The 13,837-nt window shown below is 40.8% G+C and overlaps 2 protein-coding genes and 1 long non-coding RNA gene across 29 annotated transcripts in view, besides 1 other annotated feature; 1 reads left to right on the top strand and 2 right to left on the bottom strand.

Annotated features, from left to right (window-relative positions):
* NEK5 (NIMA related kinase 5) overlaps positions 1-251 on the bottom strand; it is a 95,463-nt gene extending 95,212 nt beyond the window's left edge. For 10 of the 14 annotated variants that reach the window (XR_941575.3, XR_941574.3, XM_047430291.1 and 7 more), the window contains exon 1: positions 1-251. Coding sequence is in view for 8 of the 14 variants with exons in the window: in XM_047430291.1 (XP_047286247.1) it covers positions 1-126 (126 nt within the window). In the remaining 6 variants the exon portion in view is untranslated. The other 4 variants (XM_047430292.1, XM_047430293.1, NM_001365552.1 and 1 more) reach the window with 1 other exon arrangement.
* On the top strand, positions 73-3,901 carry LOC101929657 (uncharacterized). Its single transcript, NR_110306.1, has 2 exons — positions 73-3,235; positions 3,636-3,901. It is a non-coding gene; the product is annotated as an uncharacterized LOC101929657 (long non-coding RNA).
* Positions 3,529-4,728: an enhancer, noted in NCBI's record as "BRD4-independent group 4 enhancer chr13:52706487-52707686 (GRCh37/hg19 assembly coordinates)". NCBI's record gives its function as "activates an origin of replication core promoter dependent on BRD2, P300/CBP, MED14 and CDK7 cofactors, and independent of BRD4, by STARR-seq in HCT116 cells {active_cell/tissue: HCT116}" and the evidence as "EXISTENCE:reporter gene assay evidence [ECO:0000049][PMID:35650434]".
* The window catches only part of NEK3 (NIMA related kinase 3), a 27,214-nt gene continuing 17,201 nt past the window's right edge, over positions 3,825-13,837 (bottom strand). For 9 of the 14 annotated variants that reach the window (NM_001424259.1, NM_001424257.1, NM_001424254.1 and 6 more), the window contains 6 exons: positions 12,198-12,247; positions 7,978-8,080; positions 7,294-7,437; positions 6,907-7,041; positions 4,867-4,993; positions 3,825-4,404 (listed from right to left, as the gene is read on the bottom strand). In NM_001424259.1, the coding sequence (NP_001411188.1) occupies positions 4,320-4,404; positions 4,867-4,993; positions 6,907-7,041; positions 7,294-7,437; positions 7,978-8,080; positions 12,198-12,247 (644 nt within the window). In that variant the 3' untranslated portion in view covers positions 3,825-4,319. The remainder of the gene's footprint in view (positions 4,405-4,866; positions 4,994-6,906; positions 7,042-7,293; positions 7,438-7,977; positions 8,081-12,197; positions 12,248-13,837) is intronic. The other 5 variants (NR_164641.1, NM_001424270.1, NM_001424271.1 and 2 more) reach the window with 1 other exon arrangement.

The following is a 13,837-nucleotide window of genomic DNA, read 5'->3' on the forward strand; positions in this document are numbered from 1 at the left end:
CCGTACCCGACCTCCGCGTGTGGAGCGTTGCCATAGAGACCGACGCGCCCTGGACGCTACACCCACACAGCCCAGGACGCTAGGCCTTTTCTGGGCCGCCCCCGCCGCCCCAGGCCGAAACTCCATCCCTTTCCCCCACCCTGCCGAGCTCCCGAAGCCCTGTGGCGGCTCCGGGCAAGAACTAAGGGCGGCCCCTGCAAGCGTACCTGCTCCGCCGGCTCCGCGGGGCCAACGAAGCGTCCCGGAAGGATCCGGGTTCCCGGGGCCGCTGCGCCTCCCTGCGGCCGGGGCGGAGCCGCGCAAGGAAACGCGGGCGGGGCGCGGGTCTGGAATGGCCTGGGGACCAGTCCACCTCGAGGCAGGGTCAGGCGCCAGGGAGTTTGGAGACCCGGCAGAGTCACCCCGCAACCGTCCCGTTGCCTTGGGTCGGGATTCCTTTGCTTTGCAGTCTACAGTAGCGCTCCCCGCTCTTGCTTAAGGTGCACCAGACGCTTCGCAAACGTTCTCTCTTTTCTTTACAACCCGTCAAGGCAGTAGTCTCCCAGTTTTACAAATGAGCTAAACTGATACAGGAAGAGTGTTTCTTGTACAAGGTCTCAAATATTGCCAAAAGGTGGACGTGAGACTGGAACGGCTTCCTACTCTTTGGGCCACAGCGGCGGCCTGCCAAGGGACTTTCTAACGAAACCGGCGCTGCCCAAGCGTCTGCACTCACGCCCAGTGCTCATCCCACCCTGCCCCATTCTGGATTTGCACATCAAGCTGCTGTCTAAAATGTTTAAGTAGTTGAAAAAAATGTAATTTTCAGCAATTGTAAATAGTGACGCAAGTTAAATATATCCAACTGAATCGAAACACTACAGTAATATGGTACCCTCCATCGTCCACCTCACACACACACACAAAAAAAACCCACAAAAAACTCTTAAAAATCCTAAGTTTACATCATTACTCTTCCTTCTTAAAATCATCTCTCCGCCGCCCCCTCCCCGTCCCTGCCACAAAAAATTTCTTCTTCTTGTAAGCACTCTAGTCAAGTTGGATTAGGGCTGAACTAAAGGCCTCATTTTGATCTAATTGCATCTTTAAAGTCTCTGTCTCCGAATATAGTCTCATTATTAGTTATTGGTGTTAGATTTCAGTGTGTGAATTGGGGGTGGCCGCGGCGGGGGTGAATGCAGCCCGTAGCAGGAGTCCAAAAGTTGTTTAGCAGTTGGAATATCCAATGTTAGTTTCTTTGGCAGTGAAATTCCCTCAAAATATTAGTAGGTATATGATCTACTTGTTTTTGTTTAATTACACGTGTCAGTGACCACACCCAAATTTCTTCCCTAGAATTCTTAGACATGCTTCATTAAATCATATCTTCATTCTACTTTCCTGATAGAATTTTACCCGTTATCTTTTTCATACTTGAAAGTCTTATTGATCATCCTATCATACTGCTGAAAGAAGTACAGAAATGGAAATTTATATTTCCTGCTCATAGAATTTTAGTTTTTCTGGATTAAATTGTTAAAATTACTAGTACTACACAATTGATCACAATAAAATGTATCACAATACTGATAATTATTAAATATAAAAAATAAAATTGTATTGAAAATTCATCTCTTTAAGACCTGGATGGGCTTCCCATGCACCGTTAGTTCCTGTATCCATAGATGAATGCTAACTTCTTGCTACAATGAAGTTTAACACTGATTCTCTTCCATTTTCTTAAGGCTGTAAGTGCTGAGAAATAAGTACATAGGAATGAAAAGTTTTGTTAAAAGTGTCCCTCAATTTTTGTCTAGTTGTATCTCAAGAATCATATAGTAATCTGTCACCAAAACTGGTTTATAATCATGAACTGATAATTCCATTAGTCTTCTGAAATTTTATTAAAAGCAAAACCCCATAAGCCATTCTGATTTTGAAAAGGATTTATTATCCAATACTTATCCAGTCTCTCAGTAACTGTACATAATTTCAAGTTTTTTTTGTTTGATGGTTTTGAAATGTTTATGCCCTTGGGCAATGCCAAGATTGAAGATGACTAAGAGGTATGGAATACAGTATATATGGAAGCTGAGTACCTGGAAATGTCCTTAAAACTATCCATGCCTGCTTTAACTTGAAAAATCTTCAAGAGAGTAGTAAGCTAATTTCAAAGAGCTAACCCAAGTAATTTTGGGAAATGGTATTTGACTGGAAACTATGAGACAATAGGAAAGATACATAAACTCTGTACCTTAGTTGGTAAATTTGTTTCTCCCAGGGGTATGGGTTAATGATTTGGAAACTGCTTTACAAATAGACTAGGATTGAACAGCTAAGCAGATGGCGGATGGTACAAGCCAGTTTTCTCATTGTCAGGGAGAGAAGTTACAGAAAAGCGTGAGAAGAAGGCTAGAATGAACCTTGTAGTACTGGGTTAGTTGGAGACATCAGTATGGACCCATGCTTAATTTAATGTATGTACAGATGGAGAGATACAGAAATAACTGTAGAGATGTCTGGATGGATATACAATTATACAGTGTATACAGGTTAGTATACACATATATACTTCCTAGCTCTGTCTGCTGAGAGGGCCTAGAAGCAGTGACACCCCAGGAGCAATAAGCACACCCAGCACCCAGATCTTGGTTTCTAAACCAGTGGGAACCTTGTTGAAATGGATGATTTTGGGGCTGGGGCAGAGAAGATAAAGATGAGTCTGGACCATCTTGTAGTGCCAGAAAGGAAGTGCTCCAAAAGAACCAGCGCACCTCAAAGGGACACAGGAGGTGACCTGAAACAATTCCCAACGGCCAAAGCTAGAACAATTTAAGCAAGAAAACAAACGACTTATTATTGGATTATACTCCCACCCCCAGAGGTGGAGATTAATTCCTTTGCATTTGACTATGAGCTGGAGTGTGTGACTCACTTATAGTGAACACAGCATGAACATGGAAAATTATGAAGTTGATAGTGAAGAGCCTGGCAGACACTGCCTTCATCAAGTGATCAAGGTGAACGACACCAGGAAGAAGTCATGCTGATGCTCCCTGAAATGATGTGATGAGAAGGGCACTTCACCTTTGTGATTTTCCCCAAAATCCATAAGCTTAGTCCAATTGTGAGACAAACCCAAATTGAGCAACAGTCTACAAAATACCTAAGCAGTACTCAAAAATGTCAAGGTCCCGAAAAACAAGGAAAGATTTAGAGACTGCCAGAGACCACTGGAGATGAAAGATATCTAAATGTAAATACAGCGTATGTGTGAGGTGGAGGGTTGGTTCTATACCACAGGTTTTACATGTTAAGATTTAAAAACTGTTAAATCTTTAAAAGATGTATATATTCCAGATTTCAGCAACTGCTTGTTAATGACCCTAAATGTATTTTCCCCCTACTCTTCACTTTAGCACCGTTCCCTGTATTTGGCTGGCTCACGTCTCTTTGAGAGGTGTTGAGCGAAGCCTGTTTCTTTAGTGAAATATTCTCATCTCACTGAAGTGCACACTATTAGATGAGGTTCACACACGACAGGACCCAGCACGTGTGCGCCATGCCTCCTCCTATTCGTTCCACATCACTCTCTAGTTTCTGATATTTACCATTAACTGCTCCTCACCTCTGGCCTCTTCCTTCCTCATCTACAGGACTGCCATCTTCTGACAAGATCTGCAGACCACCCCAAGCTTCCCAGGGCTGACCCTCCAACCCAGGCTCTTTTGTGCATCCTATGAGGGACTGTATTTAAGGACAGCTGGTAGTTGGTGAAGATCATTGGAATGATCTTCAAACTACTCAGAATCAGGTCATATTGAAAAACTGCACACATTACTAAATCATAATTAAATATATTTAATTCTCAAACCTTTAGGAAATGTAAAAAGAGTCACATAATAATAAACACATATCATAATGTGAATAATATCATACGGGCTGCTATAAAGGTCTGTGGTCAGCATCCCTCTGAGGTAGGCATTATTATCTTCATTTTATGGTTGAGGAAATTGGGGCTTGAAGAGGTTAAGTAATTTCCCACAATCACACAAGTAGGTAGTGGCACGCTAGCATCCCATTTCTGTTCTATGGGACTGCAAAGCCCGATGCTCACACTCATTCCACTATACCTTCTCCCTTGAGTTCAAAAACTTACAGGAGTTCTAGACTTTTCAAACTCACGATACTAATCAAGAACGATTTTAAGTATTAAGAGTTTCCTCTGCTTCATTCTGTTTCCAAAGGAAAATATACGTCGCATGAACTCATGATCATCTCAGCATGAACTCCTGAGTGAAGCCTCTCCTCAGCGTGACTCAGGAACATTTCCTCAGGCATTATCTGTCGCACAGGCCTTGCCATCCAGCTCGCTTCTTCAGCTCTGACACCCAGTCGGGGTTGTCATCTTCCTCCTCAAAGTCCCTGTGAAAAAACAATTTGGACCATAAACCTCTACATTAGGGGCACAGTATCTGTTGATGAGTTCAAAGCGGAATACCACCATAACAATACTTAAGCTTTTGAAAATTGAGTTCCATAAGGCAACTGAAGGGAAAAAATTGCCAGTTCTTCCAAAAGATCACTTCTTTGACTGTTTCTAAAACTTTTAAAAATATAAATCCTAATATATTAAAAAATAACAAGTCCAAGCTGAAAGGCTATAGGTGTAGGGCTCAATCAGGAATTTTATAATCATATTGTAAGGCATTACCCATCCCAGACAAAAGATCAGGATATAAATATCCATTTATGATGAAAAGTAATATAAGAGGTCCCTACTAAATCTGAAATTATCATGGTCTAATTTAAATCACACACACACACACACACACACACACACACCCCCAACCCCAGCTACAGCTTTCTATGCATATCACAACGTACGTGTCCTCCTCATCTAGCCCAGGCTCAAGTCGCTCTGGATCCAAAATGACAGAATCGTGACCTCCATCAACACTGTCCGATGCTTCTGTTTCTTCAGACAGGGGGCCTTTCAAGAACCCTTCTGAACCTTCAGGAGATATTAACAGAAAATATACCAATTTAAACAGTATTTACTTATTTCATGCAGTTTGATTAAAATCCTCCGTAAGCTTGCTGGCTGAGGACAATGCCATGTCCCATAACTCTTTTGTAGTGTCTCCCCACATTACCCAACATGATTGTAGGCATAAAACAGGCCCCTGAAGCAGAAGCACTGGGATGTGGACTAAATTTATAAACAGTACTTTATTCTTTTTTTTTGAGTCAGGGTCTCACTCTGTCACCCAGGCTGGAGTGCAGTGGCATGATCATAGCTCAATGCAGCCTCGAACTCCCAGGCTCAAGAGCTCCTCCTACCTCAGTCTCCCAAGTTGCTGGGACTAGAGGTGTCCAGAACCATGCCTGGCTAATTTTTTTAGTAGAGGCGAGGTCTCGCTATGTTGTTCAGGCTTGTCTTGAACTCCTGAGCTCAAGCAATCCTCCTGCTTCAGCCTCCCAGAGTGCTGGGATTACAGGCGTGAGCCACCACAGCTAGCCTATAAACAGGATTTTCTTTAAGAGAAAAAAAAAACTCGGAAAATTGCCATAAAACCCTCCCAATATAAGAATGTATATTAAGGCATTAAAAGTTACCCTTGGAAGTTGGGTTATAGTAATTTCTTTTTTCCTTTGAACTTTCTCCTCCCAAGTTTTCACAATGGGGAGGAAGAAAAGTAGGGAACTGAAGGAAGACCACATGCATGCTTAAAAAAATTTTCCAGGTATAATTACTTTTAGATTTTTCACAAACAGCATGAAAACCTAACCTAAAAACATGGGCCGAATCTTCTAAAAGGCATTTCAAAATAGCACTATGACATATTTTTTAAACAGGGACTTTCCTAAAATGACAAAGACTTCATCACTGGACCAGACACAAAATCCAGGACCTAAAATTGCAAAATTGAAATTCATAACCGTTAAACTTCCTTAACATTTTCCTCCCATGCATTAGCCTCTCCTTAGGGCTTCCATGATCTTTTGTGCACAGCTCTATCTGAATGCATGTATCACAGGGCACTATAATTCTTTATCAGTGTGCTGACCTCCCACGTAAAGAACTCCTTCATCCTTAGGGCAGGAATTGTGTTTTATTCTTTTTTTTATCTTAACCTTTGTTAGGCATTCAATAAATACTGACCAAATAAATACAACTACATCGTTGCAATAAATAGAGTCAGACTTGCCATACCATTACATGCTCTACTTGGTATAATCTATCTTAGATCTTAACCTAGCAAGATGGCTTAGTAATTAAATTATTATAATTATAATACACATACACATATACATATCTAATACAGACCACTGGCCTGGATTCCTAAGGAGAGTATTATAAAAAAATTATTTTATACAATGTTAGTAAAAATATCTGTAAAAAAATTTAAAAATCAAATCCTAATTGTTCATCCTTTTTGAGCTCTATTCAATGTAACAGAGTTCAGGTATACAACAAAAGAAATCTTGGAGTTGTTGCTAAAGCAATGGCATATTTGCATGATAAAAATGGGCTCCTCTTCAAAGAAAGTAGTAGCAGGATTATGAAAATAAGCAAACAAATGAGCAAACAGAAGTAATGTAGCTCCATGAAAAATTTTAATTGTAGCTTAAGACTGGCTAGAAAAGATTAAAAAACACCTAAAAATACAGTGCTATGAATTACTTTATAACTTTGAAATCAAAGCGTTTCTGGGAGGAGGGAAACCCTTTGAATTGAGTTTTGGAAGATGAGAACATTTCTGTGGATGGAAACTGGTGATGGCTGTACAACAATGTGACGTACTTAGTGCTACTGAACTGTACACCTTAAAATGGTTCAAATGTAAATTTTATGTTATATATATTTGCCACAATTTTCAAAAAGTCAAAGGGTTTCCAAGGTCACATACAGACATGAATTACCTGGTCTATATATTGTGTATGTTTGAAAAGCCAAGCTGAGATCAGCATTCTTAAGGATGTTCAACAAAGTGTCAGGGGTCTCTTTGAGCCACTGCTTACGAGTAGTATTTTTGCTGTACTTTATTACAGAACCACCTAGTTGCAAAAAGACAAAAATTAGTGCTGAATAAAAAAAGATTTTTCAGCATGTACTTTCCAGATCATATTTTCAAGCGAAGTTAGTTATATTTGACTGTTAACTAAAATCTGCTTCATTCACCTGTATGAGCAATGCTCTGATGTGTGACGCCAAATACCCTTCACAGACATTAAAAGGCTCTAAGTGCACTAAGTAACTATTAGAAAAAGTTCTCTAATAAAATAATAGTATTCAATCTGACTACTAACCTCTATCGTCCTCTGCTGTTAAACTGGAGGTGAGTATGGATGCATTTTCCAAAGCTGTAAGAGCTGTATTGGGTACATTTTTCTCCCACTGTCGTCTATGAAGATTTGGTGAACTGGCTTTCCTCAGATGGACTGACTTATTACCTGATTTTAAAGTGTGAAAAAGGAATGCCAAGCATGTGAAATTATGTATCCATCTCTGTCCACACATAGACTCTAACAAATATGGAAGTGTTTCTTTTCTCTTTCATATTCAGATCTATGTTTGAAAGATCAATGTTCTTTCTAATCTAAGTAGCAAAGGAAATTTAAAAAAAAATCCAAAATGAAAAATTAAAACGAACCATTACAGTGACTGAGTTAAAAAAATAATATGTATATAGTTACATATTCTATATTATACAAGAATGAAGCCCTGGGAGGACTTACATACACACAGTATGCTATGCTTTTTATGGTGGATAGCACAATAAATACTGCTCTTTCTAATGACTCTTACTGATAAATGCTATTCTCTCTTTTGTTGTAGGTAAATAAAATATTCCTAAAACATTAAATAAGTTACTAGATAAGCAAACAAATATCAGCTTGTACTCTTGTTTATGATATCTGAGACCTAGTAACATAAAAATTGGTATTCCCCAACTCCTCACCTAAGAAATGATTAGAATTTGAATAACTTACCTTTTTCTTCTCTGTTTACTCTTCTCAATGCACTTTCAACTAAATTTTCATTAATGCTTTCCAAATCAGTATGGCTACCCTTTCTATCTTGTTCTTCCTCTTGCTTTAAAAGAGATTAACAATACAGATTAAATAATGCTTGAATTGCCACAAAAAGGTAAACAAATATGCAAAGTCAGCCATTTTAATTTCAAATAAAAATTAATGGATTAAAATACATGAATAATCATAGAACCCCAAGGACATGTATATTAATAGCCATATATATCTATATGTATTTAATAACATATATATGTACATTAACCAAAAACCTACATACATGTATATATTAATAGACATACACATTAATAGCCATTAATATCAATTATTATAAATATGAAGAGGATATATTAAAATGACAGCTATTTGGTAAGTCTTTACTAAGGAAAAGACTAATGAAAAATTTCAATATGGTTTGCCGTACTGGGCTTTACAAACTATAATATCAAAATGAGATATTTTATAAAGTTGCCATATAGAATCAAAATGTTCCCACTTAATTCAGTATCTTTCCAAATTATCTAAGCCCTTGATTTATTTCGTGAAATATAGTAATACACTATCTGGTTTACTAAATCTGCATATACTTTGAGAAGAAGTACATATTGAATGCCTAAACAGTCCCAGGCAAACAAATTCTCAAATATTTATTGAATGAATAAAGAAAGAGTAGGCTTGGGTGGCATGGCGGGTTTTCTTATTTCTAAGCAGTGGTTCTGAAACTTCTCTTCCCACACATGTAGGGAACATAAAAATCTGTCACTTAACAGTGGTAGCTCACTTACAGCAGAGATTTCAAAGCCTCCTACACTCAAGAATGACATCAGAATCTTGGAGGAGTAGTGGTGAGGGGCAGCTGTGAAAAGCCCCCCAGGGGATTCCAGTCTTTCCTTCCCATTGAGGATCACTGCTTTCTGTGTCTGCAGCAGCCTCCCACATTCCTCTGGGCGCTATTCAACTCTGCCTTCATTGCCATCGTCCTTTGCTGGCCTGCACACAAGTTTTCCTACCTCAAGTCCTCCATTCCCTGACTGACTTTTTGGCCTTTTCTCCATTTTGTTTACATGTTGCACCCTTTTCATTTTGCGAACACATATTGCTGTGTTCACTACAGGTGGTATCAAACTATAGCGTGTGGGCACAGATCATCTGCAAAGGGCACAAGGAAACATTTTAGGGGATGGAAATTCTTTTCTTTTTGAGACAGAGTCTTGCTGTGTTGCCCAGGCTGGAGTGCAGAGGTGCGATCATAGCTCACTGCCCTCCTCAACTTCCCAGGCTCAGGCGATCCTCCCGCCTCAGCTTCCCAGTAGCTGGGACTACAGGCATGTGCCACCATGCCCACCTAAAATTTTTAATTTTTTGTAGAGATGGGGTCTCATTGTGTTGCCCAGGCTTGACGCAAACTCCTGGCCTCAATCAATGCTCCTGCCTCTGCCTCCCAGAGTGTTGGTATTACAGGCGTAAGCCACTCTGCCCCACCTGGAAGTTCTATATGATGACTGTGGCAGGGGTTATATGGATATTTAAATACCATCACCAAAATTTATCAAATTGTGCATAAAAATGGGTAAATTTTGTGGCATGTAAATTATACCTCAAAAACTGGAAAAAACAGACATTACAATGAAAAGAAAAAAAGTATAGAGGTCTGTATTCCATTTGTAGCAACATAATGGTGGGGTGTTGTTATTTATTTAGAACCTATGGTTCATTCAAAAAATTTAAAAGTTTAATTACTAGTACATTCCATGAAGAGAGCAATTTGTTGTCATACAACATCTTTTCCTTTTTGAATTGAAAGGTTAGGCCAGGTGAAGTGGCTCACACCTATAAATCCCAGCACTTTAGGAGGCCAAGGTGGGAGGATCACTTAAGCCCAAGAGTTCAACACCAGCCTGGGCAACATAGTGAGACCTCATCTCTATAAAAAAGTTAAAAAATTATCCGGGCATGGTGGCATGCACCTGTAGTTCCAGCTACTCAAGAGGCTGAGGTGGGAAGATCCCTTGAGCCCAGGAGGTTGAGTCTGCAGTGAGTGGTGTTTACGCCACTGCACTCCAGCCTAGACAACAGAGAGAGAGAGAGAGAGAAGGAGAGAAGGAAAGAAAGAAAGGTTGACTGAAATACTGAAAAAAACATCAATAGTACACAATTTGCTAAGGGGGGTGTGACAACACTGAAACATGGATCGGCTGTTAATATCCACAGCTTTAGGGAAGCTTCAGTGTAAAAGAATGTCACAGTTGCCCAGGGCTAGATGAACAGGACCCCGAATGCCAGCCTGAAAATTGATTCTTGGGATAACAAGGAGGTGCTACAAAGCATTGAACAGAAAAATGTTAAGATCTAAATAGTAATCTAAATGTTACTCAGCTTCAGCACAGCAATAAAAAGGAATGAAGTTTTGACACACAGAAGAACTTAAAAACATTATGTAAGTGAAAGAGGCCAGACATAAAAGGACAAATATTGTATGATTCCACTTACATGAAATACTTAGAATAGGCAATTTCACACAAAGATTTGAGCAGCTACCAGGGGCTACCAGATTTGAGATTAGAGGCTGCCAGGGGCTGCAGTGGTGGAAGAGGGAGTTATTGCTTAACAGGTACAGAGTTTCTGTTTGGGATGATAAAAAGTTTTGGAAATAGACAGTAGTGATGGTTGCACAGTATTATGAATGTAATTAACACCACTCAATTGTACACTCAGAATTGGCTAAAATGGCATATTTTATGTTATGTATATTCTACCACCATAAAAAAACAAAAAGCAGGCCAGGTGTGGTGGCTCATGCCTGTAATCCTAGCACTTTGGGAGGCCAAGACAGGCAGATCACATGAGGTCAGGAGTTCAAGACCAGCCTGGCCAACATAGCAAAACCCCATCTCTACAAAAAGACAAAAAATTAGCTGGGCACGGTGGCTCGTGCCTGTGGTCCCAGCTAACCAGGAGGCTGAGGCATGAGAATTGCTTGAACCCGGGAGGCAGAGGTTGCAGTGAGCCGTGATCACGCCACTGCACTCCAGCCTGGGTGGCAGAGGGAGATTCTGTTTCAAAATAAACGAACCAAAAAGCAGCCAGGCCCAATGGCTCACACCTATAATCCCAGCACTTTAAGAGGCCGAGGCGGGAGGATCACTTGAACACAGGGGTTTGAGACCAGCCCAGGTAACATAGCAAAATCCCATCTCTTTAAAAAAATGCCAAAAAAAAAAAAAAAAAAAGCTAGGCATGGTGGCACATGCCTGTAGTCCCAGATACTTGGGAGGCTGAGGTGGGAGGATCACTTGAGCCCAGGTGTTCGAAGATGCAGTGAGCCATGTTCACGTCATTGCACTCCAGCTTGGATGCCAAAGTGAGACCCTATCTCAAAAAAAAAAAAAAAAAAAAGCCAGGATAACACAAGATTTTCATGACTGAAAGCAAGACAAAATTCTTCCACATCTGTATTGAAACCACTATCATCAATAATCAAAAATGGAGGCCGGGCACGGTGGCTCACGCCTGTAATCCCAGCACTTTGGGAGGCTGAGATGGGTGCATCACAAGGTGAGGAGATCGAGACCATCCTGGCTAAAACAGTGAAACCCTGTCTCTACTAAAAATACAAAAAATTAGCTGGGCATGGTAGCGGGTGCCTGCAGTCCCAGCTACTCAGGAGACTGAGGCAGAAGAATGGCATGAATCCAGGAGGCGGGGCTTGCAGTGAGCCAAGATGGTGCCACTGCACTCCAGCCTGGGTGACAGAGCAAGACTCCATCTCAAATAATAATAATAATAAATGGAAAAATAAACAATAAATGGCGACCTAAAGTGGCTCAGCTGACAGTGCAGATGAACAGCTACCAGTTATTTCCCATGCCAAAAAATGAAGGAAGAAGTACTTAACTAGAGGGACCAGGTCACAGTCTTCCAAATATCTTATGGCACTTAAGGGTAACCCGGTATCCAGGAGGTAGATATTTCATAAACGTATTTTTTTTCTTTTGAGATGAAGTCTCGCTCTTGTCGCCCAGGCTGGAGTGCAATGGCGCAATCTAGGCTCACTGCAACCTCCGCCTCCAGGTTCACTTGATTCTCCTGCCTCAACCTCCCGAGTAGCTGGGATTACAGGCTTGCACCACCACGCCCGGCCACCGCGCCCGGCCTCATAAAAGTAATTTTAAAGCACTTACCACTGTGCTTGCTTCATTTCCCAAAGCTATCCTGATTCTGCTGGGGTTTGCTTTTAAAAGAGAGAGAGAAGGTAGAAAGATAAAACACATAAAGGATCATCCTATTAAGTTCCTAATATGATTTTCATACAGCTGGAGAAGTGAGTGAGGTTATTAAAGTCAAAGAGCCAAAGCTCTCTGATATCCTGAATGGGAATAACAAGCTTTAATCACCTAATAATACATCTCAGTTATTGAAAGAGGCTATTTCCACTGTTTCATTCCTAAAGTTAAAATCCAAAAGTTAAAAGACATCTCTATTCACTTATGCCAACCCATTTAAGCACTAAGAGGTAACATACTCTGCATACTTAAGGTTATTTTCCCCTTTGGTGCATGCTAGCTAGTGGAGTCCGTGCTTTTCCTGTTAGCTATCACAGCTGGTGGAATAAGTATCCCTAAAAAGAAGTGAGCTGTTTATTAACTCAGAAGAGACCAGCAGGAGGAGTCAGGAGAGAACCCTGGCAATTGATCCCTTTGGTAGGAATGGCTATGCCTCATAGTGGTTCATGTCCCTTATTCATTCAACGTTTTAAAAAATTGCTATTGAACATGGATGATGATGCACTGAGAATACAAGAGTGAGCAAATCAGATGCAATCCCTGCCCTGTTCCATTTCATTATTCTGGTCTGTCTACAGATTAAACTGGAGATGCCATCAGACATATGGTCCCAGTCTGGTGGCATTTCTCTAACTACTTATTCCTCTTTTTAGAAACTGTAACACTATACTTTTTTGGCCGGGTACGGTGGCTCATCCCTGTAATCCCAGCACTTTGAGAGGCCAAGGCTGGTGGATCACCTGAGGTCAGGAGTTTGAGACCAGCCTGCTCAACATGGTGAAACCCTGTCTCTACTAAAAAAAAAAAAAAAAAAAATTAGCCAGGTATGGTGGCGCATGCCTGTAATCCCAGCCACTCTGGAGGCTGAGGCATGAGAATTGCTTGAACCCAGGAGGCAGAGGTTGCAGTGAGTTGAGACTGCACCACTGCAGTCCAGCCTGGGAGACACAGTGAGACTCTGTCTCAAAAATAAAATAAAATAAAGTTAATTTAAAAAAAACCCTACATTCTTCCAAACTACCTTGAAATTTTTTTGTCTCTTTTTTTCTTGCCCAGCATTTTAAAACTAATTTCCCACTACCTTGAGATGTGAACAAAAGCCACAGAATAACACCTATGCTAAAGCAAACTGGTAAAACAAAGGTAACTGGCTATCTCTTTTTTTTTTTTTTGGAGACGGAGTCTCGCTCTGTTGCCCAGGCTGGAGTGCAGTGGCGCAATCTCGGCTCACTGCAACCTCCACCTCCCAGGTTCACGCCATTCTCCTGCCTCAGCCTTCTGAGTAGCTGGGATTACAGGCACCTGCCACCACGCCCAGCTAATTTTTTGTATTTTTAGTAGAGACGGGGTTTCACCATGTTCGCCAGGATGGTCTTGATCTCCTGACCTCATGATCTACCCGCCTCGGCTTCCCTAAGTGCTGGGATTACAGGCGTAAGCCACTGCGCCCAGCCGCTATCTCTTAACTAATGGAGAAAAGGTTGAGTTATAAGACTGAAGGGTTTGCATCCTTCCAAAAACAACACTTAAAAGTTAAG

The sequence above is a fragment of the Homo sapiens genome, chromosome 13, assembly GCF_000001405.40.
Source record: "Homo sapiens chromosome 13, GRCh38.p14 Primary Assembly".
In the NCBI taxonomy this organism is placed as follows: Eukaryota; Metazoa; Chordata; class Mammalia; order Primates; family Hominidae; genus Homo; species Homo sapiens.